Source organism: Homo sapiens, chromosome 5, assembly GCF_000001405.40.
Source record: "Homo sapiens chromosome 5, GRCh38.p14 Primary Assembly".
NCBI classification, from domain to species: Eukaryota; Metazoa; Chordata; class Mammalia; order Primates; family Hominidae; genus Homo; species Homo sapiens.
The window spans coordinates 141484901-141507641 of NC_000005.10; the positions used below are offsets into that span (position 1 = coordinate 141484901).

The following is a 22741-nucleotide window of genomic DNA, read 5'->3' on the forward strand; positions in this document are numbered from 1 at the left end:
CTGCGACGCATTAACCCTGCTGCTGTTGGGACGTTCTCTGCTCAGCCTATTGGCTGAGCCCGGGAGCCGCTGTCTGCCAATCGGGTGGTGAAAGGCAGACAAATCTACCCCGCCACCAGCAAAAACGGCGCGTAACCCTTGCGGCGCCGGCCGAACCGCGCCAGAGCTGGCGCGGGGAAAGGGAGATAGGTGTCTCCAGCTGCTGTGGCTGTTTGGGGCGGGTCGGCTTCATCCGCGTCTCAGGAGCAAGTAGAGAATTAGCGGGCGGCAGCAATGCTCCGCAAGGTGAGAAGCTGGACAGAAATCTGGCGGTGGGCTACCCTTTTGTTCCTCTTTTACCACCTGGGTTACGTTTGTGGGCAGATCCGCTACCCGGTCCCAGAGGAGTCACAGGAAGGGACTTTTGTAGGGAATGTCGCTCAAGATTTCCTGCTGGATACGGACAGTCTGTCAGCTCGCAGGCTGCAGGTCGCTGGAGAGGTGAACCAAAGACACTTCCGTGTGGATTTGGACAGCGGAGCCCTGCTCATCAAGAACCCAATCGACCGAGAGGCACTGTGTGGGCTCAGTGCCAGCTGCATCGTGCCCCTGGAGTTTGTCACCGAAGGTCCTTTGGAAATGTACCGAGCAGAGGTAGAGATCGTAGATGTGAATGATCACGCCCCCCGTTTTCCGCGGCAGCAGCTGGACTTGGAAATTGGGGAGGCAGCTCCTCCAGGACAGCGTTTCCCGTTGGAAAAGGCTCAGGATGCAGATGTGGGGAGCAATTCGATTAGCAGCTATAGGCTGAGCTCCAATGAACACTTTGCACTGGATGTGAAGAAGCGCAGCGACGGCAGCCTGGTCCCAGAGCTGCTCCTGGAGAAGCCTTTGGATCGAGAGAAGCAATCGGACTACCGCCTGGTGCTGACTGCTGTCGATGGAGGGAACCCGCCGAGATCTGGCACCGCAGAGCTCCGGGTATCCGTGCTGGACGTAAACGACAACGCCCCAGCCTTCCAGCAATCCAGCTACAGGATTAGTGTGTTGGAGAGCGCACCAGCGGGCATGGTGCTCATCCAGCTCAATGCCTCAGACCCGGACCTGGGTCCCAGTGGTAACGTCACCTTTTATTTCAGTGGTCATACCCCTGATCGTGTAAGAAACCTCTTTAGCCTGCACCCCACTACTGGAAAGCTTACTCTTTTGGGGCCCCTAGACTTTGAGAGTGAGAATTACTATGAATTTGATGTGCGGGCTCGCGATGGGGGTTCTCCAGCCATGGAGCAACATTGCAGCCTTCGAGTGGATCTGCTGGACGTAAATGACAATGCCCCTTACATCACAGTGACCTCAGAGCTTGGAACCCTCCCCGAGAGTGCAGAACCTGGCACTGTGGTGGCACTTATCAGTGTGCAGGATCCAGACTCAGGGTCAAACGGAGATGTGAGCCTCCGCATTCCTGACCACTTGCCATTTGCCCTCAAGTCTGCCTTCAGGAACCAGTTCTCCCTGGTGACTGCTGGACCCTTGGATCGAGAGGCCAAATCTAGCTATGACATCATGGTCACTGCTTCTGATGCTGGGAACCCTCCTCTCAGTACCCACAGAACTATTTTCCTCAATATTTCAGATGTGAATGATAATCCACCCTCTTTCTTTCAGAGGTCACATGAGGTGTTTGTTCCTGAGAACAATCGCCCAGGGGACCTGCTTTGCTCCCTTGCAGCCTCTGACCCAGACTCTGGCTTGAATGCGCTTATCTCCTACTCACTCCTGGAGCCCAGGAATCGAGATGTATCAGCTTCCTCTTTCATCTCTCTGAACCCCCAGACAGGAGCTGTTCATGCTACTCGATCCTTTGACTATGAGCAAACCCAGACACTGCAGTTTGAGGTGCAGGCCCGGGATCGGGGCAACCCACCCCTTAGCAGCACTGTAACAGTTCGTCTATTTGTGCTGGACCTCAATGACAATGCTCCAGCTGTGCTCCGTCCTCGGGCCCGGCCTGGTTCCTTATGTCCCCAAGCACTGCCTCCATCAGTTGGTGCTGGCCACCTAATCACAAAGGTGACTGCTGTGGACTTGGATTCAGGTTACAATGCTTGGGTTTCCTATCAGCTCCTGGAGGCCCCAGATCCCAGCCTGTTTGCAGTCTCTCGATATGCTGGGGAGGTGCGGACGGCTGTTCCTATCCCAGCTGACCTCCCACCACAGAAGCTGGTCATTGTGGTAAAGGATAGTGGTAGTCCACCACTCTCTACCTCTGTTACTCTCTTAGTGTCCTTAGAGGAAGACACTCATCCAGTTGTCCCAGATCTTCGAGAATCTTCAGCTCCAAGGGAAGGAGAATCTCGTCTAACCCTCTACTTGGCTGTGTCCCTAGTGGCAATTTGCTTTGTCTCCTTTGGCTCATTCGTGGCACTACTCTCTAAGTGTCTTCGTGGGGCAGCCTGTGGAGTCACATGCTTTCCTGCTGGCACCTGTGCCTGTCTCACCAGATCTCGAAGGAGGGAGGGGCTTCCCCCTTCCAATGGGATCCTCCGAATCCAGCTAGGGTCAGATGACCCTATCAAGTTTGTTGATGTGGGAGGCCACTCTCATGGCTGTACACCCTTGGCTTCTGCACCCACTCGGAGTGATAGCTTCATGATGGTGAAGTCACCCAGTGCACCTATGGCAGGGGAGCCTGTTCGCCCAAGCTGCCCACCCTCTGATCTTCTCTATGGGCTAGAGGTGAGACCTTTGCAGGCTCAACAAATGCTTGAGGGTTATTCTGATCCAGGCATATGGCTAGGCCATGTCCTAGAGAGTACTGGCCTCTCAGTAAGTGCCCATAGTGATGTCACCATTTTTGTAAGAGGTAACTATGTGGTAGACGCTGTGCTTTGTAACTGTTTCGTGAATTAACCAGAGTTGTCACAGTTTAGCATTGGGGGCGGGTCATGCCTATATCTGAGTAAGAAATGAAAGTAATTGGTGATCAAGAGCCAGGCTGTTGTGGAAGCATGATGATGGAATGTGGGAGCACAGGAGGCTACAGTGCACAGGGTACAGTGCACCAGGCAGTCACTTGGACAAAGGTGGCTGTTTTCTCTACTCTTCCTGAAAGAGGGGATCAGATTCTGAAGTACCTTAACTCTAGGTTACCATTTCCCAAGGGATTGAGGGGAAATAAAATCTTTGTCTCCCAGTATCTAGTACACTGTGAAGGGACCTCTCTATTTGAAACATAGAGACAGCAGAAAGAGGAGAGAACTAAAGGAATAGAGAGGCACGCATCAGAGTGGTGGCATAGATCTTTTGGTCTGGGTCTTAGGACTCATATCAAGTCCCTACTGGGGATTTGAACTAGATGCGGTAAATTGGAAGGTTGGGGCGGGTTGGTCATCACCTTTGGAAAAAACAGTAAGTGAAATCACTTATGTCAGAAAACTGGTTTACAGTTGGCTGATTCATAGAAACAGCCACCCTGTGCATCTTTAAGTTGAGTTCTCCTGAATTTGGTGAAACCATGAAACCTAGAAGCCAAGCCATCCATGCTTGGCCTCTGACCACCCTCCTGGGTGACCTGATTCAGCCCCAGAAATGTTCCCCTACCCAAAAACTGTAACACTCATTCCACATTTGGGGTCTGGGGTGTCAGAAAAGCTAAGTCCCATGTCAGCTGACATTGAGATTTCCGCAAAGCATTGCTGGAGAGTCAGGGCAAGACTTTACAAGGTTCTTACTAATCTTTTCTCTCACCTTAGCAGCATTCAGCAGGATGGGGGAGGGTGGGGGAATACATGGGCTTTGCCTCTCCCAGAAGGACAAGATTTTGCTGGTTCAAGCAAAGTGGTGGAAGCTTCTGAAGTCATGCAGGAAGTTGCTGGGACAGAACGCTGAGGAGTTTTGTATCACTTTGTCTTCCCTGTTGAGTACCATCTGAGCTGTCAAACTTTGCTGCCAAGGGGGCTGAATCAACCTGCAGCACGAAGTGAGTGGGGAGGTAGGAAGCTTCTGTGACACAGATTTGCAGCCTGTGTTCCCAAGGTTTCCAGGATTGAGGAAACTCCATAATTGGTTGAGAGCACACAGACTTTTTGGCCAATCAGACTCAGAGCTGAGGTGGGAGATCTGCTCTTCCAGCCCGCCTCTCCTCCTCCAGCTCCCCAGCTCCACTCAAATTCAGCTCCCCTCCCCCCTGCCCACCCCCGCCACTCGGTGACTAAGAACTGCTGCAAGCAGGCAAACCTCCGAGCAGTTTTTAAGAGGCTGGAAGGAGACATAAGAGACTTCAGCTGCTGCATTCCAAGCCCTGGGTCTACCTTGGAGACAGGACAGCACAGACTTACTCTCCACAAAGGGACTTCTGGGTCATGGGGCCCAAGACACTCCCACAGCTCGCTGGGAAATGGCAAGTGCTGTGCATGTTGTCCTTGTGCTGCTGGGGCTGGGTGTCTGGGCAGCTTCGTTACTCAGTGGTGGAGGAGTCTGAGCCGGGGACGCTGGTGGGGAATGTTGCTCAGGATCTGGGCTTAAAGATGACAGATCTGTTGAGCCGGCGGCTGCAATTGGGCTCTGAGGAGAATGGGCGCTATTTTTCCCTGAGCTTGATGAGTGGTGCCCTGGCAGTGAATCAAAAGATTGACCGAGAAAGCCTATGTGGAGCCAGCACCAGCTGCCTGCTGCCAGTGCAGGTGGTGACTGAACACCCCCTGGAGCTAATCCGTGTAGAGGTAGAGATCCTGGATCTCAATGACAACTCTCCTAGCTTTGCCACCCCTGAGCGAGAGATGCGCATCTCAGAATCAGCAGCATCTGGGGCACGATTCCCACTGGACAGTGCCCAGGATCCGGATGTGGGCACCAATACTGTGAGCTTTTACACTCTAAGCCCCAACAGCCACTTCTCTCTGAATGTGAAGACCCTAAAAGATGGGAAGCCATTCCCAGAGCTGGTGCTAGAGCAGCAGCTGGATCGTGAAGCCCAGGCAAGACATCAGCTGGTGCTTACTGCTGTGGATGGGGGGACCCCAGCCCGCTCAGGGACCACCCTTATCTCTGTCATCGTGCTGGACATCAATGATAATGCTCCAACCTTCCAATCCTCAGTTCTACGTGTGGGAATCCCAGAGAATGCACCCATTGGTACTCTGCTGCTCCGCCTCAATGCCACTGATCCAGACGAGGGCACCAACGGCCAACTAGACTATTCTTTTGGAGACCACACATCTGAGGCAGTGCGGAACCTCTTTGGCCTAGACCCTAGCAGTGGGGCAATCCATGTGTTGGGTCCCATAGACTTTGAGGAGTCACGTTTCTATGAAATTCATGCAAGAGCCCGTGACCAGGGACAGCCTGCCATGGAGGGCCACTGTGTGATTCAAGTGGATGTGGGGGATGTCAATGACAATGCCCCAGAGGTGCTATTGGCCTCTTTGGCCAACCCTGTCCTAGAGAGCACACCAGTGGGCACAGTAGTGGGGTTGTTTAATGTGCGAGACCGGGACTCAGGTAGAAATGGTGAAGTGAGCCTTGATATCTCTCCGGACCTGCCATTTCAGATTAAGCCTTCTGAGAACCACTACTCGCTGCTAACCAGCCAGCCTTTGGACCGGGAGGCCACATCCCACTATATCATCGAGCTGCTGGCCAGCGATGCTGGTTCACCTTCCCTACACAAACATCTCACCATCAGGCTCAACATTTCAGATGTCAATGACAATGCACCCCGCTTCAACCAGCAGCTTTACACTGCTTACATCCTAGAAAACCGGCCTCCGGGCTCCCTTCTTTGCACTGTGGCTGCCTCAGATCCAGACACTGGGGATAATGCCCGCCTCACCTACTCCATTGTAGGAAATCAGGTTCAGGGAGCCCCAGCCTCCTCCTTTGTGTATGTCAACCCAGAGGATGGACGGATCTTTGCCCAGCGTACCTTTGACTATGAATTGCTGCAGATGCTGCAGATTGTGGTGGGGGTTCGAGACTCCGGCTCTCCCCCATTGCATGCCAACACATCTCTGCATGTGTTTGTCCTAGACGAGAATGATAATGCCCCAGCTGTGCTGCACCCACGGCCAGACTGGGAACACTCAGCCCCCCAGCGTCTCCCTCGCTCTGCTCCTCCTGGCTCCTTGGTCACCAAGGTGACAGCCGTGGATGCTGATGCAGGCCACAATGCGTGGCTCTCCTACTCACTGTTGCCACAGTCCACAGCCCCAGGACTGTTCCTCGTGTCTACACACACTGGTGAGGTGCGCACAGCCCGGGCCTTACTGGAGGATGACTCTGACACCCAGCAGGTGGTGGTCCTGGTGAGGGACAATGGTGACCCTTCACTCTCCTCCACAGCCACAGTGCTGCTGGTTCTGGAGGATGAGGACCCTGAGGAAATGCCCAAATCCAGTGACTTCCTCATACACCCTCCTGAGCGTTCAGACCTTACCCTTTACCTCATTGTGGCTCTAGCGACCGTCAGTCTCTTATCCCTAGTCACCTTCACCTTTCTGTCAGCGAAGTGCCTTCAGGGAAACGCAGACGGGGACGGGGGTGGAGGGCAGTGCTGCAGGCGCCAGGACTCACCCTCCCCGGACTTCTATAAGCAGTCCAGCCCCAACCTGCAGGTGAGCTCGGACGGCACGCTCAAGTACATGGAGGTGACGCTGCGGCCCACAGACTCGCAGAGCCACTGCTACAGGACGTGCTTTTCACCGGCCTCGGACGGCAGTGACTTCACTTTTCTAAGACCCCTCAGCGTTCAGCAGCCCACAGCTCTGGCGCTGGAGCCTGACGCCATCCGGTCCCGCTCTAATACGCTGCGGGAGCGGAGCCAGGTGAGGGGCTCGGCGCCGCCCCGGGCGACCCCTGGGGGCGGCACTGGAGAAGCCGCCCGTCCTCATAAGGGATTGAACTTGCATCCACTCCTCTCCGGCCGGCTTGGTCGCTGGCTGCGCTCCACCCGATTCTCGGGATCATTGGACCGTTTGCGCGAAACCAGAGTGGCCGATTAAGGGATGGGGCTCCGAGCACCGGGGGTGGTGGCGACTGTGGGCGAGGGGAGGTGGGACCGACCCCCACCCCTACACTCAAAAAAGGCCGGGGCCTCCTTCGAGCTTCCGGTGAATTTCGGGCGATTTCCGCGGGTGTCGGGGGTCCCGGGAGGAGGCAGTCACAGATCCACCCCTGCAGCCAGCCTCCTAGGCGCCGGCTCCGGCACGCTTCGCCGGTCTGTAGATTTCCTCTTCGATTTCTCCCCAGCTCCCAGCATCTGTGACTTCACTGTTACCCTCCCTATCCCCGCATCACCCAACCGCACCTGTCTGCGGGACTTAGGTGTGCGCGCGGGGCTCATGCGTGTCCTCCCTGCTGGCCACCCCCACGGCCCACACAAGTTGCACGGGCTCGCCACGCCCCGCCAACACGTGCGCGGACGCACGCACGCACTCCTCGCACGTGGGCTTACGCGAATACCAGCTTTCACTGCCACTCGCTCGCGGCCAGATTCACAGGCCTGTTCCGGTCCACTCGCAGCTCCCCTCTGCCGCTCCCTCCGCCGGGCTCAGGAGTACTCGTAGCTGATTGTGCGCGCCTGAGGGTCCCAGATCGCGGCCGCCCAGGACCAGGCGAGGACTCCGGAGCCTCCTCTCACCTCTCCCACCTGCGCCCCGGGCTGGGCCGGGTCGCCTGGGGGGCGGCCTGAGCGAGGCGCGGGGCCAGGAGCGCTGGAGCGACTGCCGCTCTAAGTGCCGGGCGGGCAGGACTCTACGATCCTTGGGCCAGAGGTCCGGATGGTCCCGGGACTCCGTCTCAAGGGTCGGCGACCCCTCAACCCAGAAGCCTCGAGCAGGCGGACAGGCAGAGCTGCCCAGTGGCCGAGGCGCGGCAGGGCTCCGCGTTGGGCGAGTGAGTGAGCCTCTATAGGACAGCAGGACTGGGACTCCAGTGGCACCAGCGGCCCCTTCCTCCCGCAGGAAGTGAAAGCCTCGAGCGCCCTGGCTCTCAACCCCCAGAGATACAGGCTTTTGGCGCCGTCGTGATCACAATGTGCCCAGCGATCTAGGGTCAGAGATTTGGAGGTGACCAAACTATCTGACACTCTAACAAGTCCTGTCTCCTCTGGCAGATGGAAAGCTATAGGCTCTGCCAGATGCCAGGGTGCCCTTATGTGTGAGGAAACTACAATAGTAAAAAACACAAGTTTCTCCAACTCCAGGAGCTTTTATTCAAAATATATCAATGCCTAACTCTGCTCCTAGGACTGTATTTTGAAACACCCCCAGGTGATTTTGATAGCTGATTGAGAGAAACTTACTATATAACTCCTTTGAGAACCTCATCTCATTTGCTCTTCCCACCATTGCTGTTGGCTAGGTACTAACATGCCTCTCTTATAACAGCTTCACAGAGGTCAAGTGACTTGCTCAAGTTCACAGAGCAAGTAAGAGAGATTCTAACCCCTGTCTAACTCCAGAATGTGTGCTTTTAATTTCTTGGCACTTGGAACTTTAAAAGCTTGAGGACAGGAGAGGGGAGTTGCCTCTGCTGGGATTTTGCTTCTGCTGGGATGGGGCAAGGGTGGGGTTCCTTCCCTTTTAGGACCTTACATGTGGGGAAAGTCTTCTGTGGCTCCTCATTTCTGAGCAGTCCCCGCAGCGCAAACTTGGCCAGTTATCCTTTTGGAGATTGAGTTCCCCCAGCTCCGTTTCCTCCTATCACAATCACTGCATTTCCATGTAGATTCTGCTGTGTCTAAGAATACAGTGGCTGAGGGCTGGCCATCCCTGTGCCCTTCTCCATGGCAGCCCCAGAATGGTGCTGGTGACTCCCGATACACCTGGAATGCTAGGTTTCTGGGTTCTGCTCATATCACTGCCACCTGTGAGCCTTGAGTGAGCCACTGGCAGTTCCGGAGCTTCCTTCTCCCTGGAGTAATCTGAGATACTCACACTCTCTGCTTCTGGGAGCAAGTATGAGTATTAATTACCAGCCCACCCCAGAACCAGTGAGGAGGTGGCTCTAGGAGTGCTCCATGAGAGTGTGTGATGGGATAACACACCCCCTGGAAAGACCAGAAGGGACTCAGGAATGAAGTGGCTGGCCAGAGCCCCACACCTTCAGCTAGGTGGGAGATGGCTACACATCAGCCCCTTGGGAGCCCTGGAGACTTAGTTGGCCCTGCTTGGAGGCTGTGGGAGCTGGATCCCTCCCCGCTGCATCCCTTCCATTTTTCTCCGTCTCAGACAGAGCAGCCTTGTTCTCTTCTCCTTAGTCACAGACCATTGTCTGGCACGGAGTTCTAGGGGTGAGAAGTGTCCCGGGACTTGGATGCCCCGCAAAGGCCCAATCTGGCATGACTCCTAAATTAATAATGTATTTAGCTGTGGGAAGAGATTCTTGCAAGCCAAGGGCCCAGAGAAGATGTCCCTGTGAATGTGTCACTGCACAACCTGGCACCAAAAGGGTTACCAAGAACAGCAGCCATCTTGCTGCAGAGGATGCTTTGTTCCCAGCTGAGGAGTTGAATAAATTCATTCTAGGGCTGGTAGAATTCTCATTGAAAAGCCTCCTTTGCCACTTTAGGGGGCTTTGTCTGCACCTCTTCCCCCAGTTCCACAGAAGATGCCTTCAGTCCTTGAATTTTGGCTCAGGAGTTCTGACTCTGGGGGCAGGGAGGAAGGGGCCATTTCTTTAGGAAAGGAGTCTCAGCTTGCTCACTGTGGTCAGATGAAATGTGATTTATCTCTTGGTTTCTGGTACCTCAGACCTCTGAGACCTGAGGTGTATTTTGTCTTTGGAGATGAGTCCACCCCTGCCCCCTCTTAGTCCGTTTTCTTCTCTGTGCCCACTCCCCTCCTTCTCTCCCGGCCCATCCCTAGGGGCTCGGGTGACATTCTAACTTCTCACGGGTACTCAGCCCCTTTCCCTCTGTTTTCTCCACAGCAAGCCCCGCCCAACACGGACTGGCGTTTCTCTCAGGCCCAGAGACCCGGCACCAGCGGGTAGGTGACTGATTCTCCAGCCCACCCTCTTCTCTGCGGCATTTTCTCAGGGATGACGTGGGAGGAGATGGGGGAGGGCCCAGCATTTGCTACAGATGGCTTCTCCCTCAGTTTGAGATCCCAGGGAGGTCTTGGTGTGCGGGGGGCTGGCACACAGACCCCGGAAGGAAGAGGCGACTGCCCTGACTGTTCAGGAAGCTCAATTCACATGCTTGCCCCTTCCCTCCTCGCCACGACCGGCACCTTTTCCTATCCCCTGAGGGCACTGTGGAACCAAAGGATGGTCTTAAGCTGGTCTCTGGGTGAAAGCGAGGCTTTCTATGCCCATGTACTGCCTAACCCCCTCCCCTGAGTTGAGCTGGGCTCCATTATGACCTGGGGCTCAGGCAGAAAAGCATTTGACCGGAGGAGGCGGTCCGCACTCAGCGCCTCCTCCAGAGCCTCCAGAGCCGAGGCTGACTGCAGCCTGGGGAGAGTGGAGGCAGCACAGCTGGAGGTGGAACTGAGGAAGGACTGGGCGGGGCATGGAGCAGGCCCCCTTCTCCGGCCCCTCCTCCCACTGTCCTCTGCCCCTACTTGTCCTGCTCTCTGTCTGTGGGGTCTCCGTGTCTCTGCCCCTTTTTCTTGAGTTTCCGTCTTTGCCACTTTCTCTTACCTCTCAGTCCTTCCCTCAGTCTCTATCTCGCTTTGCAATCTCTGCCTCTCCCTCTCTTCTCCATCTCTGTCTTAGCTTCCGTCTTGATTGCTGCACCTCAGCCTCAGTCCCTTTCATTTGTCTACTTGCATTGATCTGTGCCGCCCACTGTGCCTGCCATGGCATAAGTGCTCAATAAATGTGGAGTGAGTAACTACACGGGACCCTTAGTCTCTTTCTCCTTCTCTATCTCTGCCTCCCTGTCCTTGTCCTGGACCTCTTTTCTGTTTCTCCTTTCACCGTTTCCTAGCGCCTTGTGTTCTTCTATCCCCAGCCTCTATGTTTCTCTGTCTCTCACTATTTCTGCTTTCCTCTCTGTTCTTTGTCTCTCTTTGTCTCTGTCTCTGTATATCTTTCTTTGTCTCTGTCTCTGGTCTCTGTGCCTGTTGTCTTTTTCTGCCTCTTTCTCTGTTACTCTTTCTTTATCTCTCTTTTTCTTTTATCTTGTCTTTTTTCTCTGAGCCTCTGTCTCTGTCTCTCATTTTTTTGTGCTTGTGGGCAAGCCAGCACACACAACCCCCCACCCACCACCCACCAACACCCCGCTCTCTTCCTTCCCTGCCCCTCACACACTGAGCCTTTGATCGCAGCTCTCCACCAGACACCCTCCCATCCAAGCAGCCCCAGCTGCTCATTTCAATCTGGTATGAATTCCTGCTGAGACAGGAACCCCCTGCGGGCTGAAGGGGAGGGAAACTTCAGCAGAAAGACCTTCAGTTGGTCTGAGCAGAGTGGGATAGGCTCTGCGCCAGGCCTCCCAGTTAGAAGTCAGGAGCCTGGAGGAGTCTCAGAGCCCAGGGAGAGAAGCAGGAGCTTGGGCCACCTTACCCTACCTCCTCAATGGTTGAGTACTTGCTGTCCACATTTGCCAAGTTGCTACAGATGCTGAGCTTCCAAGAGTTATCTTTCCCCCATCCTGCAACCAACCAAACCCTTGTTGCCACAAGGACCCAGGAGCCCTTGGTGTATGGCAGAGATTCCAGCTTCTGGGCATGCACAGTCCTGTCACCCATTTTAGGAACGCAAAGCGCTTCTTAGAAGGCCCCTAAAAAGCAGCAGATCAAAAGGCTTGGGCTGCCCTTGCCCTTCCTTTGACCCCAGCTGTTGTCCTTCTCCCTGCTGGCCTTGCCAACCTTCTCATAAGTTATCCATTAAGTCATTAATGTATTCATTCGTTCATTTATTCAACAAATATTTATCGAGCATCTACTATGAGCAGGGCCCTGTGCTAAACATTGGGCTATAGGAGTGAACAAGTAGATGTGATCCCAGAACTCATAGGCTTCCAGACCAGCAGAGGAGACTGAAAATTTGCAACAAGTAACACTTAAAAAAAAAAAAAAAGGCTGGGCACTGTGGTTCACGCCTGTAATCCCAGCACTTTGGGAGGCCAAGGTGGGTAGATCACTTGAGGTCAGGGGTTTGAGACCAGCCTGGCAGCCAACATGGTGAAACCCCATCTCGATTAAAAATACAAAAATTAGCCAGGCGTGGTGGCAGGCACCTGTAATCCCAGCGACTTAGGAGGCTGAGGCAGAACTGCTTGAACCCGGAAGGCAGAGGTTGCAGTGAGCTGAGATCACGAAAAAAAAATAATCTAGCCACAAATCACAGTAAGTTCTGAGAGGCAGAGAACAATGTGAGTGTAATGGGGGGGGGAAGATCAGAGAAGGCTTCTAGGAGGAGGTGACATTGAGAAGTTCTAGGCCATTTATGTTCCCTCTACCTACCACCACCCCAGGCCATACACTGGCTTTGAAGCAGAATTCACCATTGAACCTGGAAGCCCCACCAACTGCCTCTCATGTGTCCTCTGGGGTGAGCACCTTACCCCTGCCTCAACTCCCATTCCATCAAATGAGAGGCTTAGTGGCCTGGAATACATGTGGGAGCTCTTGGAGATATGGAGGAGAAGGTGCGGAACCTCTCTCTCTCTCCTCTCTCTGCTTCCTTAGTTAACTTGTGGAGGATGCAACAAACCTTTTTTTTTTTTTTTTTTAGACAGAGTCTTGCTCTGTTGCCCAAGCTGGAGTGCAGTGGTGCGATCTTGGCTCACTGCAACCTCTGCCTGCCAGGTTCAAGCGATTCTCCTGCCTCAGCCTCCCGAGTAGCTGGGACAGCAGGTGTGCACCACCACACCCAGCTCATTTTTGTATTTTTAGTAGAGATGGGTTTCGCCACGTTGGCCAGGCTGGTTTCAAACTCCCCGACCTCAACTGATCCACCTGCTTCAGCTTCCCAAAGTGCTAGAATTACAGGTGTGATCGCCCCCGGCCACAACAAACATTTTTGATTCAGCGGCTCCAAAGTGAAATAAGCGTTAGGATCTAGTCCAGTAACTTCAACTTCTCTCCTTCATTCATTCAACAAATGGTCAGTGAGCACTTTCTGTTGGCCAGGCAGTGTTCTCGATGTGGGAGGCCCCTGCCCTCAAGGAGTTTACAGTGCACTGAAGGAGACAAATATTGACCAAATAATTACAAAAATAAATGTGAGACTGAAACTGTCATAAGTGCTAGGTAGAATTGTATCTGGTGGTGTGGGCGTATAATAGGGATTTGATTTAGGGAGCAGGAGGACATCCTGGAAATGAAGTTGTGCTGAGATCTGAAAGACAAATACAAATTAACCAGCTAAAGAAAAGAAGGAAGAGCATTCCAGATGGTCAGGCATACCAGCTTCAAAGCAGGGCTGGTGTTGAGTTCTTCAGTAAACTTGGTTCAAGATCAAGCCAGCTCTGGGTCACACTGCCTACACAGAAGGAAGAGCATTCCAAATGGGAAAAGCCTATGCAAAAGCCTTGTGGTGAGGCCTCCTGGGATCAAGGGAATGGCAGGGAGTTTTCTCTTTGCTGGCACTGGAGTGAGGGGATGAAGAGGAGAGGTTCCTTTTATCCAGTCTAACCCTGGTTCCAGCCTTCTGTTGATGCCCTGCCTCACTCCCTCCCCACCATCTTGCCCACTGCCCTCCAGCCTGGTCTGGTCAGACACACCAGCTTCAAAGCAGGGCTAGTATTGAGTTCTTCAGTAAACTTGGTTCAAGTTCAAGTCAGCACTGGGTCACACTGCCTAGACAGAAGGAAGAAGACCTGGCCAGGTGTGGTGGCTCACGCCTGTAATCCCAGCACTTTGGGAGGCTGAGGTGGGTGGATCACCTGAGGTCAGGAGTTTGAGACCAGCCTGGCCAACATGATGAAACCCCATCTCTAGTAAAAATACAAAATATTAGCCAGGTGTGGTGGTGCACACCTGTAGTCCCAGCTACTCAGGAGGCTGAGGCAGGGGAATCGCTTGAACCCAGGAGGCGGAGGTTGCAGTGAGCTGAGATCACACCACTGCACTCCAGTCTGGGTGACAGAGCGAGACTCCATCAGGAAAGAAAGAAAGAAAAAGAGAGAGAGGGAGGGAGGGAGGGAAGGAAGGAAGGAAGGAAGGAAGGAAGGAAGGAAGGAAGGAAGGAAGGAAGGAAGAAAAGAAAGAAAAAGGGAGAAAAAATGAAGAAGACTTACATTCTGAAGTTCCTGCTTGGCACATGCTTCTCCTCCCCACCACTATCCCTTCTCAGGTCATCCTTTGGGTGTCTGATCCCAATAGCTGTTGTCTCAAGCTCTGAGCCCAGCAAACCATTTCCCCCTTCTTAGGCTGTAACCCAGGCCCTGCCCTGCAGCTGTCCCCAGCCTCTGCACAAAGAGTCTCCATTTGGTCCCTAGACTGTTCTCTGATGGCTCCACACTACCATCCCTCCTCTGAGAGACAGTATCCCTGCTCTCTCTCAGTTTGGGCAGTCATTCAACAAACAAATAGCAACTTAATTTTTTTCCACTTATAAAATAGTACATGCTCATTATAGAAACATGAAAAATAGAAAAAAAATTAAAAGGAAAACCACCCATCATTTTACAATCTAGGGAGAACCACCACCAACTACAGTTTAATATGAAACATTTCAAATATGTACAAAAGTAGAGAGAATGGTGTCATGAACCTGTATGATACCACTATCCAGCTTCAACTAATGCCTTATCTTGTTTCACCTATATCCCTACCCTTATCCTGTCCTTGGATTCTTTTGAAGCAAATCTCAGACATCATATAATTTCATCTTGGTCTCCACCATCTTTAACAGATGACTTTTTTTTTTTTTTTTTTTTTTGGAGACAGAGTCTCACTCTCTTGCCCAGGCTGTGGCACAATCTCAGCTCACTGCAGCCTTCGCCTCCCGGGTTCAAGCAATTCTCATGCTTCAGCCTCCTAAGTAGCTAGGATTACAGGTGTGCACCACCACACACAGCTAATATTTTGTATTTTCAGTACAAACAGGGTTTCGCCATGTTGGCCAGGCTGGTCTTGAACTCCTGGCCTCAAGTGATCCACCCTCCTCGGCCTCCCAAAATGTTGGGATTACAGGTGTGAGCCACCTTGCCCGGCCAGATGATTCTTTCATAAGGTCCACATTTTATATTTGAGTGAGTGTCTCTTAAGTATCTTAATGCTCTTTTAATGTAAAAGACTTCCCCTCCATCTTCCATTTTTGCAATTTATTTGTTGAATCCCTGCCTTTTCATATATATCTTTCTAAACTTTTCTTTGTGTAATCAAAGAACATGCATGAGCTTCATTTTTATTTTTATTTATTTATTTATTTATTTATTTATTTATTTATTTATTGATACGTAGCCTTGCTCTGTCACCCAGGCTGGACTGCAGTGGCGCAATCTCGGCTCACTGCAAGCTCCGCCTCCCAGGTTCACGCCATGCTCCTGCCTCAGCCTCCAGAATAGCTGGGACTACAGGCGCCCACTACCACGCCCGGCTAATTATTTTGTATTTTTAGTAGAGACGGGGTTTCACCGTGTTAGCCAGGATGGTCTCGATCTCCTGACCTCGTGATCCGCCCGCCTCGGCCTCCCAAAGTGCTGGGATTACAGGCGTGAGCCACCGCGCCTGGCCGAGCTTCATTTTAAAAAAATCTCATTCACCTAAATAAGTTGTTCACAAACTTGTCACACTTTCATGTGACACTTTATTCACATATTAAGAACTGTTATTCCCAGTCATACGGTACATTTCCTACTAGTTTTTTAAAAATAGCAACTGAGGCCATACTGTCCAACAGAATTATAGCTTTTTTCTTCTTTGCAGTGTATCATGAGAATTTCCCCATGTCTTTCAAAATTCTTCCCAAGTCATTTGCAGAGTAACTCCTCTTATGAATATACATATTATTTTACAGAATAAGTCCTCATATGAATATACATATTATTTTTCTAATGCTAATGGGCTTTTGCTACATTAGAAAACATACACATTCATTTACAATTTTTTTTTTTTGAGACAGTCTCGCTCTGTCTCCAGGCTGGGGTGCAGTGGCGCCATCTCGGCTCACTGCAAGCTCCACCTCCTGGGTTCAAGCAATTCTCCTGCCTCAGCCTCCTGAGTAGCTGGGACTACAGGCACGCGCCACCACGCCCAGCTAATTTTTGTATTTTTAGTAGAGACGGGGTTTCACCATGTTGACCAGGATGGTCTCAATCTCTTGACCTCGTGATCCGCCTGCCTCAGCCTCCCTAAGTGCTGGGATTACAGGTGGGAGCCACCATCCCCAGCCTCATTTACATTTTAACACAATTAAATTCAGGGTGTTGTCAGGGTGACTTCCTAGATTTCTCAGTTTTTTGAGCATGATGTAGGGAGTATTTTATTATAGTCCAGTCTATGGGATATTCCCTTATACACACACACACACACACACACACACACACACACACACACACACCCCAAACTCAATAGGGCAAGAACCATATTCATCATCTCTTAAATCCTAGGTCCTGTCACAGGCCACTGCTTGGAAAATAGTTGACTAAATGTAGTCCATTTCTTCCATTTTTACTTTTCACTATTCCCCAAATCCTGGAAGAGTCCCTCATATCTGCTGCTGGGGCTCCAAGGCCTCCAAGCTGAAGCCCAGTACGTTGTTGTGCATAAGATCATAGGCCCTGGAATCATATTAGGCTGGCTTTCAGGTTGCAACTCTACCAGTTCCAGCTGTGTGACTCTGGTATAGTCTCTCAACCTCTCTGAGCCCTGTTTTCATCTGTTGGAAAATATAGATAATCACAACACTTATCTGCAGGGTGATTCCGAGGATAAAAAAGACAAATATATTACCCAGTCAGCTTAGAATAGGAAGCTCTCAGTAAATGGTTAAAAAAGAGGTCTCTCTCCCTCTGCTCATCTCTTACCCAGCTTCACATAATTGGCAGCCCACCCACCTGTTTGGCCCTCAACCTTCAACCATTTCCCAGGACGCCTCCTTACACTCCTGATCATCATGGTTCCAACCCCACTGTTCCACTCAGCTTTGTTCCCTCAACACCACTGCTCCCTGTGACAGGTCATCCTCCTAACCTCTGGCATCTGGTCCCGTTGTCTCCCTGACAACCCGCATGCTCTCCTCCCTGCAACCCCCGCCGCTTGCCTGCTCTCCCTACTTTATTCCCATTAGCCCCCTTCACCTGGGGCTGAGAACACCTGGCCTTGACCCTGCACCCTCAGCCAGGCCCACAGAGCTCAGTCGGGCCGGAAGTAAGGACCCCAGATATTCAGTTGAGGAATTTAACATTAATACAATAATATAGAATCCACCAGCAGATTTTCATAAATGTTCTGTGTGTTCTTTTATCCTTTTTTTTAATCCAGGATTTTATCAAGGAGCATAGATTGCATTTGGTTGTCACGTCTTTCCTCTCCTTTAATCTGGAGCCAGCTCCCAGTCTTTTTATTTTTTTAATGACATGGATATTTTTAAAGAGTCCAGGCCAGTTGTACTTTAAAATGTCCCCGAACCTGGATTTGCTGGCTATTCTCTGATGGTTAGATTCAGATTACACACCTTGGTAGGAATACTTCCCGCAGCATCACACTGGGACTCATCTAACGTCGGCCTGTCCCACTATCAGTGATGCCGAGTTTGTTCGTGTGGTAAAAACAGTGTCCCAGATCTCTCCATTATAAAAATATATTTTTATAAAGATATTTTAAAATATTTGTGAAAATATAAGTAATCTGTGGATGATACTTTGAGATAGGCAGCAACCCTTCATGCAATTTTAGTATTCCCTGATGATCCTTGCCTGTATCTGTTTTTACATCAGTGATTACAAAGCGGTGATGTTCTGTCATTCCTTCTACATGTATTTGCTGGTATTCTTCTGAAAATTACCTGGATGATTTCTTCAGATTTAAATTCACTGTCTTTTCCTTGGGGAAGCCTGGACTGGCTGAGCTGCCTAACCCTGACTCTCTGTCTTTTTTTTTTTTTTGACAGGGAGTCTAGCTCTGTTGCCAGGCTGGAGTGCAGTGGCAACCTTCACCTCCTGGGTTCAAGCGATTCTCCTGCCTCAGCCTCCCAAGTAGCTGGGATTACAGGCGTGTGCCACCATGCCCGGTTAATTTTTTTTTTTTAATATCTATTTTAGTTGAGACAGGGTTTCACCATGTTGGTCAGAATGGTCTCGATCTCCTGACCTCGTGGTCTGCCCGCCCCTGCCTCTCTTCATACCCTCTGGTAGCCCCTGACACAGCCCATGGCAAGTATCACAATTGCAATTACTCTATTGTGTAATTATTTAAAATCAGCCTCTCAGTGCCCACCATGAGCACCGTAAAGATGGACAGTTTCTATCATACTCACAGCCACAACCCCAGCACCTGGCTCTGTGTCTGGTACATAGAAATTGCTCAAGAAAGAATTGTTGGAGGGGCGCGGTGGCTCACGCCTGTAATTCCAGCACTTTGGGAAGCGGAGGCAGGTGGATCATGAGGTCAGGAGTTCGAAACCAACCTGGCCAATATGGTGAAACCCCATCTCTACTAAAAATACAAAAATTCGCTGGGCATGGTGGCATGTGTGCACTTGTCGTCCCAGCTGCTCAAGAGGCTGAGGCAGGAGAATCACTTGAACCTGGGAGGCAGAGGTTGCAGTGAGCCGAGATCGCGCCACTGTACTCCAGCCTGGGTGACAGAGCGAGACTCCAGCTCAAAAAAAAAAAAAAAAGAAAAAAGAAAAGAAATAATTATTGAATCAATGGAAACAGAATTACAACTCTTCCCACTTTTGGGAAGGAGAATTGAGATTCCTGCTTTCCCCTTCAACCCTAGCTTTATGTTTGTTGTGATGGTATAGAGGTCACACATGGCAGCCTTGTGTCTGTTCTTAGGCTGAGTTCATCTACTTAGGGACGGGGAATCCCAGATTGGGCAAAACCAAAAGCAGGGACAGACCTTGGAAAAATTGTAAAGCAGTTCTTGGTTGTGCTCACCCACCATGACAAAATATGCACACACACAACGCAACACACACACAGACATTTTCATGCCTTCAAGGCCTACCCTACAGCCTTTCCCATGGTGCCAAACCCTTCTTCTTACCTTACAGTCACTTAACTGTCTCTGCTGGTCTCTTCCCACTCATTTAGGCAACAAATATTTATTGAAAAACTTCTCTGAGCCAGATGGTGCCAAACAGTTACCTAAAGGGCAGACTGTGTGTGTGCCAGGGCTGTTTCCCGCCAACACTCCCCTGCAAATTGAAATAATTTCATCCTTGGAAATTCAAAAAAATCATGAAAATTGTCACTGTGGGAAAATTCCAAGTAGAGCTGAACCTTCTAAGAAGCAGAGAGTTCTTCTTATGGTTTAGTATTTTTTTAAATTATGAATCATTTCATGTTTTTTCAACACTCGGAGTTTCTAAAAGTCTCACTTAGGTCCAAGTGCTAGGCTTTGTGCTAGGTGCTTCAGTAGGAAGCAGGTGGAGTCGCTGCCTCACAGAAGCCAGTGTGGTGGAGGAACAGACAGGCACTACAACAGCTGCAGTGTGACTAGTGCCATGTGGGGCAGCCGCTGGGATGGGAGTACAGTGGAGGCACCTGCCCAGTCTGAGTGGATCTCCTCTGATATATTTTATTCGTGTCATCATGGCAAATGTTGGGGGACTGGCATTCTAGGGAACACCATCTGCCCAGGATTCACAGCAAGAGGGAACTTGAGGGATAGGAAAGTGCACCTTGGAAAAGGTTTGATGATAGAGTGTTTGAGGGCGGGGGGTGGGGGTTCTTGTAAAATAGGAGGGGCAGGTTCTTCTATGGCCGTGGATTTTACTCTGAGGGCTTAGGAAGCCATTGAATTTTAGAAATTTCTTCTCCCTGCTCCAGGGTCTCTTGGGGCCTCCTACATCTCCCCCTAGGTACCTCCTAGGTCCCCACTTTTTCTCTAGCTCTGGAACATTCTCTTCCATTTCCCACCTTCACAGTCCTCTGGAGAAGGTCTGATCTCCCTCACTATGACAGGAAGCCAGGCTCTCTCATGGTGGGTGGGGGAATGCACTATGTTCAATGCATTGGACCAGCCTGGCCAACATGGTGAAACCCCGTCTGTACTAAAAATACAAAAATTAGCCTGGCACAGTGGCAGGTGCCTGTCATCCCAGCTACTTGGGAGACTGAGGCAGGAGAATCGCTTGAACCCAGGAGGTGGATGTTGCAATGAGCCAAGATCGCGCCACTGCACTCCAGCCTGGATGACAGAGTAAGACCCTGTCTAAAACAAAAAGAAAAAAGCATCGGAGGCAGCAAAGAGCTGGTTTGAGGGACTGACTTGTGGGATTCTGGCTTCTGAAGGATTGTAGAAGTGCCTCCTACCTTGCTGAGAGAAACAGGTCTTGGGCATGGGGTAGGGTTAGGGTACTAGGTTTGGGAGCCCTGGGAGAGGACAGGAGGGGCATGAGCTGTGCCGGCCTGGGAGTCTGTGCTCACCATCCTACTCTCTCCCCAGCTCCCAAAATGGCGATGACACCGGCACCTGGCCCAACAACCAGTTTGACACAGAGATGCTGCAAGCCATGATCTTGGCGTCCGCCAGTGGTAAGTGGTGTCAGTGTGTGTATGGAAGAGTGGGAGACCTGGGGTTCTGGGGTGCATCTCACAGCCACCATGCCCACGGACTGGATGTCAAACCTGTGTAGTTTCTCCAGATCTTTCGGCAGGTCTGAAAGGACCCACAATTCCAAACATAAAGCCTGGAATTGTGGCTAAGGAACAGCAGAGGGGTTGGGGGTCCTGGGATGCCTGGAGGAGAGCGAACAAGGAAAAGACTCATGGAGGGAATAGTGGTTACAAGTCTAGCTCTGGAATGGGACAGTGTAGCTCAGGTCCTAGCTCTGCTACTATCCTTGGGACTTGGATCGACTTGCTCAATCTCTCTAAACCTCAGTTTCCTCAGCCTAGAAAGTGGGGACAGGGACCCCAAAGGGTTGTTGTAGAGATTAAATGAGATGATACCACAAAGCATAGAGTTCTGGGCCTGGCGCTTGGAAGCCCTCAAGCAATGAAAGTGGGTGTAGAAATCCCCAGCCGAGAGAACACCTCCTCTTTATGCGAGGCTCCTCTTTTGCTGCCCCTAACTCCAGAGTAGGATTCTGGTTTTCCCATAAGGTTGACTAAGGGCTTCCTTTGTAATAGAGATTCGGCTAGTGGTGGTTGTCCCTGAAGAGTCACTAGGGCCCAGAGCAGGAGAAGAAGAATATCATTTGTCCTTAAGAGCACAGCCTAAGCTGGGCGTGGTGGCTCACGCCTGTAATCCCAGCACTTTGGGAAGCTGAGGCAGGAGGATCATGAGGTCAGGAGTTCGAAACCGGCCTGGCCAACATAGTGAAACCCTGTCTCTACTAAAAATACAAAAATTAGCTGGGCATGGTGGTGCGTGCCTGTAGTCCCAGCTACTTGGGAGGCTGAGGCAGGAGAATCGCTTGAACCTGGGAGGTGGCTGTGGTGAGCAGAAAATCGCACCACTGCACTCCAGCCTGGGCAACAGTCTCGCTCTGTCTCAAAAAAAAAAAAAAAAAAAAAGAGCACAGGCTTTAGAGGCAGGCCAATCTGGATTCAAATCCTGGCACCTGGCACCACCACTTAGCAATGAGTCCTTAGGTAAGTTATTAAACCCCCTCGGTTTCACTTACTATTAATGGGCACAGTATTAACGGATCTCATTGTGGTGTTACCAGGGCCAAATGCAAGTCCCTCAGCACAGGATTGGCAGAGAGTAAGGGCACAATATATTATTATCTTTGCTGACCCAAACCCGTTTTTTACTGGGTAGAAAGCAGAATTAGAATAATGCCTATTAATAAAGACTAGCTTCTGGAGCAGCAAATCCTGGGCTTATAAGGAGGCTGGCAGAGGATCAAGGCATTGCCCTATATCATGAACTGATAGCCCTGCCCTCCAGCATGTCTGGAGGACTGGTGGGTAGAGAACCAGGTGAAATCACAAGAAGCACTGTCATCACACCTGGGCACATACTAAACAAACTTTAGGGGCCTCCTGTCAATGAATCCTCTCAATAGCTCTGCAAGGCAGGTCTGATTTCTCACACTCGACAGATGAGAGAACCGAGAAGGCACTTGCCCCAGGGTCCTCAGTTTTGAGCTGCCAAGCTGAGGTTCTAACCTGGCTCAACTCCTAAGTTTATGCTCTTTCTACTATAGGGACCATGGCTGCCTTTGGATCCAGCCTCGGCTTCTCTATTACCTGAGCAGGATGAGAGGCTGTCCTCTTCCTCGAGCTCTGCTTTATTCTTCCAGATCAGGGTTGCCAGATAAAATACAGGATGCCCAGTTACAGTTGAATGTCAGATAAACAGCAAGTACTATTTCAGCATAAGTCAGTCTCAAATGTTGCATGAGACATAATGTACTAAAAAAAAAAATGCTCATTGTTTACCTGAAATTCAAATTTAACTGGGAGCCCTGTACTTTTATTTACTAAATCTGGCAACTCTACCCCAGATGTCTGTGAGGTTAAGTGGGGCCAGGCCTACAGCTGACGGAAGGACAGAGAGAGAGGTGGCAGGGACTGCTGGCCTCCTGAGGCAGAGCTGTCCCAGGTCTGGTGGGGCTATGATTCCAGAGAGGCCAGAGACTGAGTATGAAAGTGGCAGGCGGCTGGGTCTGAGGAGATGCCAAGTTGGCCTCTTGAGGGAAATAAACAGGTATATTTAGCTGTTGTGGCCTTGCGCCCTGAGGC

At 51.1% G+C, this 22741-nt stretch overlaps 22 protein-coding genes and 1 further gene across 27 annotated transcripts in view, besides 6 other annotated features; all 23 read left to right on the top strand.

Annotated features, from left to right (window-relative positions):
- Positions 1-228: a silencer, noted in NCBI's record as "fragment chr5:140864468-140864695 (GRCh37/hg19 assembly coordinates)". NCBI's record gives its function as "represses an EF-1alpha promoter that drives an FKBP-Casp9 reporter gene in an ReSE screen in K562 erythroleukemia cells {active_cell/tissue: K562}" and the evidence as "EXISTENCE:reporter gene assay evidence [ECO:0000049][PMID:32094911]".
- PCDHGA1 (protocadherin gamma subfamily A, 1) overlaps positions 1-22741 on the top strand; it is a 182462-nt gene that overhangs the window by 154387 nt on the left and 5334 nt on the right. Inside the window, exons 2-3 of the mRNA NM_018912.3 lie at positions 9907-9965; positions 20493-20581. Of these exons, the coding sequence (NP_061735.1) occupies positions 9907-9965; positions 20493-20581 (148 nt within the window). The remainder of the gene's footprint in view (positions 1-9906; positions 9966-20492; positions 20582-22741) is intronic.
- PCDHG@ (protocadherin gamma cluster) overlaps positions 1-22741 on the top strand; it is a 182295-nt gene that overhangs the window by 154216 nt on the left and 5338 nt on the right.
- The window catches only part of PCDHGA2 (protocadherin gamma subfamily A, 2), a 174216-nt gene that overhangs the window by 146141 nt on the left and 5334 nt on the right, over positions 1-22741 (top strand). The window contains exons 2-3 of the mRNA NM_018915.4: positions 9907-9965; positions 20493-20581. Of these exons, the coding sequence (NP_061738.1) occupies positions 9907-9965; positions 20493-20581 (148 nt within the window). The remainder of the gene's footprint in view (positions 1-9906; positions 9966-20492; positions 20582-22741) is intronic.
- PCDHGA3 (protocadherin gamma subfamily A, 3) overlaps positions 1-22741 on the top strand; it is a 169147-nt gene that overhangs the window by 141072 nt on the left and 5334 nt on the right. The window contains exons 2-3 of the mRNA NM_018916.4: positions 9907-9965; positions 20493-20581. Of these exons, the coding sequence (NP_061739.2) occupies positions 9907-9965; positions 20493-20581 (148 nt within the window). The remainder of the gene's footprint in view (positions 1-9906; positions 9966-20492; positions 20582-22741) is intronic.
- The window catches only part of PCDHGB1 (protocadherin gamma subfamily B, 1), a 162877-nt gene that overhangs the window by 134802 nt on the left and 5334 nt on the right, over positions 1-22741 (top strand). Inside the window, exons 2-3 of the mRNA NM_018922.3 lie at positions 9907-9965; positions 20493-20581. Of these exons, the coding sequence (NP_061745.1) occupies positions 9907-9965; positions 20493-20581 (148 nt within the window). The remainder of the gene's footprint in view (positions 1-9906; positions 9966-20492; positions 20582-22741) is intronic.
- PCDHGA4 (protocadherin gamma subfamily A, 4) overlaps positions 1-22741 on the top strand; it is a 157955-nt gene that overhangs the window by 129880 nt on the left and 5334 nt on the right. Inside the window, exons 2-3 of the mRNA NM_018917.4 lie at positions 9907-9965; positions 20493-20581. Coding sequence (NP_061740.2) covers positions 9907-9965; positions 20493-20581 — 148 coding nt within the window. The remainder of the gene's footprint in view (positions 1-9906; positions 9966-20492; positions 20582-22741) is intronic.
- Positions 1-22741, top strand: part of PCDHGB2 (protocadherin gamma subfamily B, 2) — a 152982-nt gene that overhangs the window by 124907 nt on the left and 5334 nt on the right. Inside the window, exons 2-3 of the mRNA NM_018923.3 lie at positions 9907-9965; positions 20493-20581. Coding sequence (NP_061746.1) covers positions 9907-9965; positions 20493-20581 — 148 coding nt within the window. The remainder of the gene's footprint in view (positions 1-9906; positions 9966-20492; positions 20582-22741) is intronic.
- PCDHGA5 (protocadherin gamma subfamily A, 5) overlaps positions 1-22741 on the top strand; it is a 148814-nt gene that overhangs the window by 120739 nt on the left and 5334 nt on the right. Inside the window, exons 2-3 of the mRNA NM_018918.3 lie at positions 9907-9965; positions 20493-20581. Coding sequence (NP_061741.1) covers positions 9907-9965; positions 20493-20581 — 148 coding nt within the window. The remainder of the gene's footprint in view (positions 1-9906; positions 9966-20492; positions 20582-22741) is intronic.
- PCDHGB3 (protocadherin gamma subfamily B, 3) overlaps positions 1-22741 on the top strand; it is a 142734-nt gene that overhangs the window by 114659 nt on the left and 5334 nt on the right. Inside the window, exons 2-3 of the mRNA NM_018924.5 lie at positions 9907-9965; positions 20493-20581. Coding sequence (NP_061747.2) covers positions 9907-9965; positions 20493-20581 — 148 coding nt within the window. The remainder of the gene's footprint in view (positions 1-9906; positions 9966-20492; positions 20582-22741) is intronic.
- Positions 1-22741, top strand: part of PCDHGA6 (protocadherin gamma subfamily A, 6) — a 139085-nt gene that overhangs the window by 111010 nt on the left and 5334 nt on the right. Inside the window, exons 2-3 of the mRNA NM_018919.3 lie at positions 9907-9965; positions 20493-20581. Of these exons, the coding sequence (NP_061742.1) occupies positions 9907-9965; positions 20493-20581 (148 nt within the window). The remainder of the gene's footprint in view (positions 1-9906; positions 9966-20492; positions 20582-22741) is intronic.
- Positions 1-22741, top strand: part of PCDHGA7 (protocadherin gamma subfamily A, 7) — a 130234-nt gene that overhangs the window by 102159 nt on the left and 5334 nt on the right. The window contains exons 2-3 of the mRNA NM_018920.4: positions 9907-9965; positions 20493-20581. Of these exons, the coding sequence (NP_061743.1) occupies positions 9907-9965; positions 20493-20581 (148 nt within the window). The remainder of the gene's footprint in view (positions 1-9906; positions 9966-20492; positions 20582-22741) is intronic.
- The window catches only part of PCDHGB4 (protocadherin gamma subfamily B, 4), a 125278-nt gene that overhangs the window by 97203 nt on the left and 5334 nt on the right, over positions 1-22741 (top strand). The window contains exons 2-3 of the mRNA NM_003736.4: positions 9907-9965; positions 20493-20581. Of these exons, the coding sequence (NP_003727.1) occupies positions 9907-9965; positions 20493-20581 (148 nt within the window). The remainder of the gene's footprint in view (positions 1-9906; positions 9966-20492; positions 20582-22741) is intronic.
- PCDHGA8 (protocadherin gamma subfamily A, 8) overlaps positions 1-22741 on the top strand; it is a 120343-nt gene that overhangs the window by 92268 nt on the left and 5334 nt on the right. The window contains exons 2-3 of the mRNA NM_032088.2: positions 9907-9965; positions 20493-20581. Of these exons, the coding sequence (NP_114477.1) occupies positions 9907-9965; positions 20493-20581 (148 nt within the window). The remainder of the gene's footprint in view (positions 1-9906; positions 9966-20492; positions 20582-22741) is intronic.
- Positions 1-22741, top strand: part of PCDHGB5 (protocadherin gamma subfamily B, 5) — a 115029-nt gene that overhangs the window by 86954 nt on the left and 5334 nt on the right. Inside the window, exons 2-3 of the mRNA NM_018925.3 lie at positions 9907-9965; positions 20493-20581. Of these exons, the coding sequence (NP_061748.1) occupies positions 9907-9965; positions 20493-20581 (148 nt within the window). The remainder of the gene's footprint in view (positions 1-9906; positions 9966-20492; positions 20582-22741) is intronic.
- Positions 1-22741, top strand: part of PCDHGA9 (protocadherin gamma subfamily A, 9) — a 110198-nt gene that overhangs the window by 82123 nt on the left and 5334 nt on the right. The window contains exons 2-3 of the mRNA NM_018921.3: positions 9907-9965; positions 20493-20581. Coding sequence (NP_061744.1) covers positions 9907-9965; positions 20493-20581 — 148 coding nt within the window. The remainder of the gene's footprint in view (positions 1-9906; positions 9966-20492; positions 20582-22741) is intronic.
- Positions 1-22741, top strand: part of PCDHGB6 (protocadherin gamma subfamily B, 6) — a 104955-nt gene that overhangs the window by 76880 nt on the left and 5334 nt on the right. Inside the window, exons 2-3 of the mRNA NM_018926.3 lie at positions 9907-9965; positions 20493-20581. Coding sequence (NP_061749.1) covers positions 9907-9965; positions 20493-20581 — 148 coding nt within the window. The remainder of the gene's footprint in view (positions 1-9906; positions 9966-20492; positions 20582-22741) is intronic.
- The window catches only part of PCDHGA10 (protocadherin gamma subfamily A, 10), a 99989-nt gene that overhangs the window by 71914 nt on the left and 5334 nt on the right, over positions 1-22741 (top strand). The window contains exons 2-3 of the mRNA NM_018913.3: positions 9907-9965; positions 20493-20581. Coding sequence (NP_061736.1) covers positions 9907-9965; positions 20493-20581 — 148 coding nt within the window. The remainder of the gene's footprint in view (positions 1-9906; positions 9966-20492; positions 20582-22741) is intronic.
- The window catches only part of PCDHGB7 (protocadherin gamma subfamily B, 7), a 95299-nt gene that overhangs the window by 67224 nt on the left and 5334 nt on the right, over positions 1-22741 (top strand). Inside the window, exons 2-3 of the mRNA NM_018927.4 lie at positions 9907-9965; positions 20493-20581. Of these exons, the coding sequence (NP_061750.1) occupies positions 9907-9965; positions 20493-20581 (148 nt within the window). The remainder of the gene's footprint in view (positions 1-9906; positions 9966-20492; positions 20582-22741) is intronic.
- PCDHGA11 (protocadherin gamma subfamily A, 11) overlaps positions 1-22741 on the top strand; it is a 91925-nt gene that overhangs the window by 63850 nt on the left and 5334 nt on the right. For both annotated transcript variants that reach the window (NM_018914.3, NM_032092.2), the window contains exons 2-3: positions 9907-9965; positions 20493-20581. In NM_018914.3, the coding sequence (NP_061737.1) occupies positions 9907-9965; positions 20493-20581 (148 nt within the window). The remainder of the gene's footprint in view (positions 1-9906; positions 9966-20492; positions 20582-22741) is intronic.
- PCDHGA12 (protocadherin gamma subfamily A, 12) overlaps positions 1-22741 on the top strand; it is an 82469-nt gene that overhangs the window by 54394 nt on the left and 5334 nt on the right. Inside the window, exons 2-3 of the mRNA NM_003735.3 lie at positions 9907-9965; positions 20493-20581. Of these exons, the coding sequence (NP_003726.1) occupies positions 9907-9965; positions 20493-20581 (148 nt within the window). The remainder of the gene's footprint in view (positions 1-9906; positions 9966-20492; positions 20582-22741) is intronic.
- Positions 1-22741, top strand: part of PCDHGC3 (protocadherin gamma subfamily C, 3) — a 37010-nt gene that overhangs the window by 8935 nt on the left and 5334 nt on the right. For both annotated transcript variants that reach the window (NM_002588.4, NM_032403.3), the window contains exons 2-3: positions 9907-9965; positions 20493-20581. In NM_002588.4, coding sequence (NP_002579.2) covers positions 9907-9965; positions 20493-20581 — 148 coding nt within the window. The remainder of the gene's footprint in view (positions 1-9906; positions 9966-20492; positions 20582-22741) is intronic.
- PCDHGC4 (protocadherin gamma subfamily C, 4) overlaps positions 130-22741 on the top strand; it is a 27946-nt gene continuing 5334 nt past the window's right edge. The window contains exons 1-3 of one of the 3 annotated variants that reach the window (NM_018928.3): positions 130-2715; positions 9907-9965; positions 20493-20581. In NM_018928.3, coding sequence (NP_061751.1) covers positions 274-2715; positions 9907-9965; positions 20493-20581 — 2590 coding nt within the window. In that variant the 5' untranslated portion in view covers positions 130-273. Of the gene's footprint in view, positions 2890-9906; positions 9966-20492; positions 20582-22741 lie in introns of those variants that run through there. The other 2 variants (NM_001386884.1, NM_032406.1) reach the window with 2 other exon arrangements.
- The window catches only part of PCDHGC5 (protocadherin gamma subfamily C, 5), a 23895-nt gene continuing 5334 nt past the window's right edge, over positions 4181-22741 (top strand). Inside the window, exons 1-3 of one of the 2 annotated variants that reach the window (NM_018929.3) lie at positions 4181-6800; positions 9907-9965; positions 20493-20581. In NM_018929.3, coding sequence (NP_061752.1) covers positions 4341-6800; positions 9907-9965; positions 20493-20581 — 2608 coding nt within the window. In that variant the 5' untranslated portion in view covers positions 4181-4340. Of the gene's footprint in view, positions 6978-9906; positions 9966-20492; positions 20582-22741 lie in introns of those variants that run through there. The other variant, NM_032407.1, reaches the window with a different exon arrangement.
- Positions 6809-6878: a silencer, noted in NCBI's record as "silent region_16453". NCBI's record gives its function as "represses an Ori minimal core promoter by ATAC-STARR-seq in GM12878 lymphoblastoid cells {active_cell/tissue: GM12878}" and the evidence as "EXISTENCE:reporter gene assay evidence [ECO:0000049][PMID:35858748]".
- Positions 7009-7458: an enhancer, noted in NCBI's record as "active region_23298". NCBI's record gives its function as "activates an Ori minimal core promoter by ATAC-STARR-seq in GM12878 lymphoblastoid cells {active_cell/tissue: GM12878}" and the evidence as "EXISTENCE:reporter gene assay evidence [ECO:0000049][PMID:35858748]".
- Positions 7609-7658: a silencer, noted in NCBI's record as "silent region_16454". NCBI's record gives its function as "represses an Ori minimal core promoter by ATAC-STARR-seq in GM12878 lymphoblastoid cells {active_cell/tissue: GM12878}" and the evidence as "EXISTENCE:reporter gene assay evidence [ECO:0000049][PMID:35858748]".
- Positions 7989-8108: an enhancer, noted in NCBI's record as "active region_23299". NCBI's record gives its function as "activates an Ori minimal core promoter by ATAC-STARR-seq in GM12878 lymphoblastoid cells {active_cell/tissue: GM12878}" and the evidence as "EXISTENCE:reporter gene assay evidence [ECO:0000049][PMID:35858748]".
- Positions 22716-22741: part of an enhancer, noted in NCBI's record as "active region_23300", that runs on past the window's edge. NCBI's record gives its function as "activates an Ori minimal core promoter by ATAC-STARR-seq in GM12878 lymphoblastoid cells {active_cell/tissue: GM12878}" and the evidence as "EXISTENCE:reporter gene assay evidence [ECO:0000049][PMID:35858748]".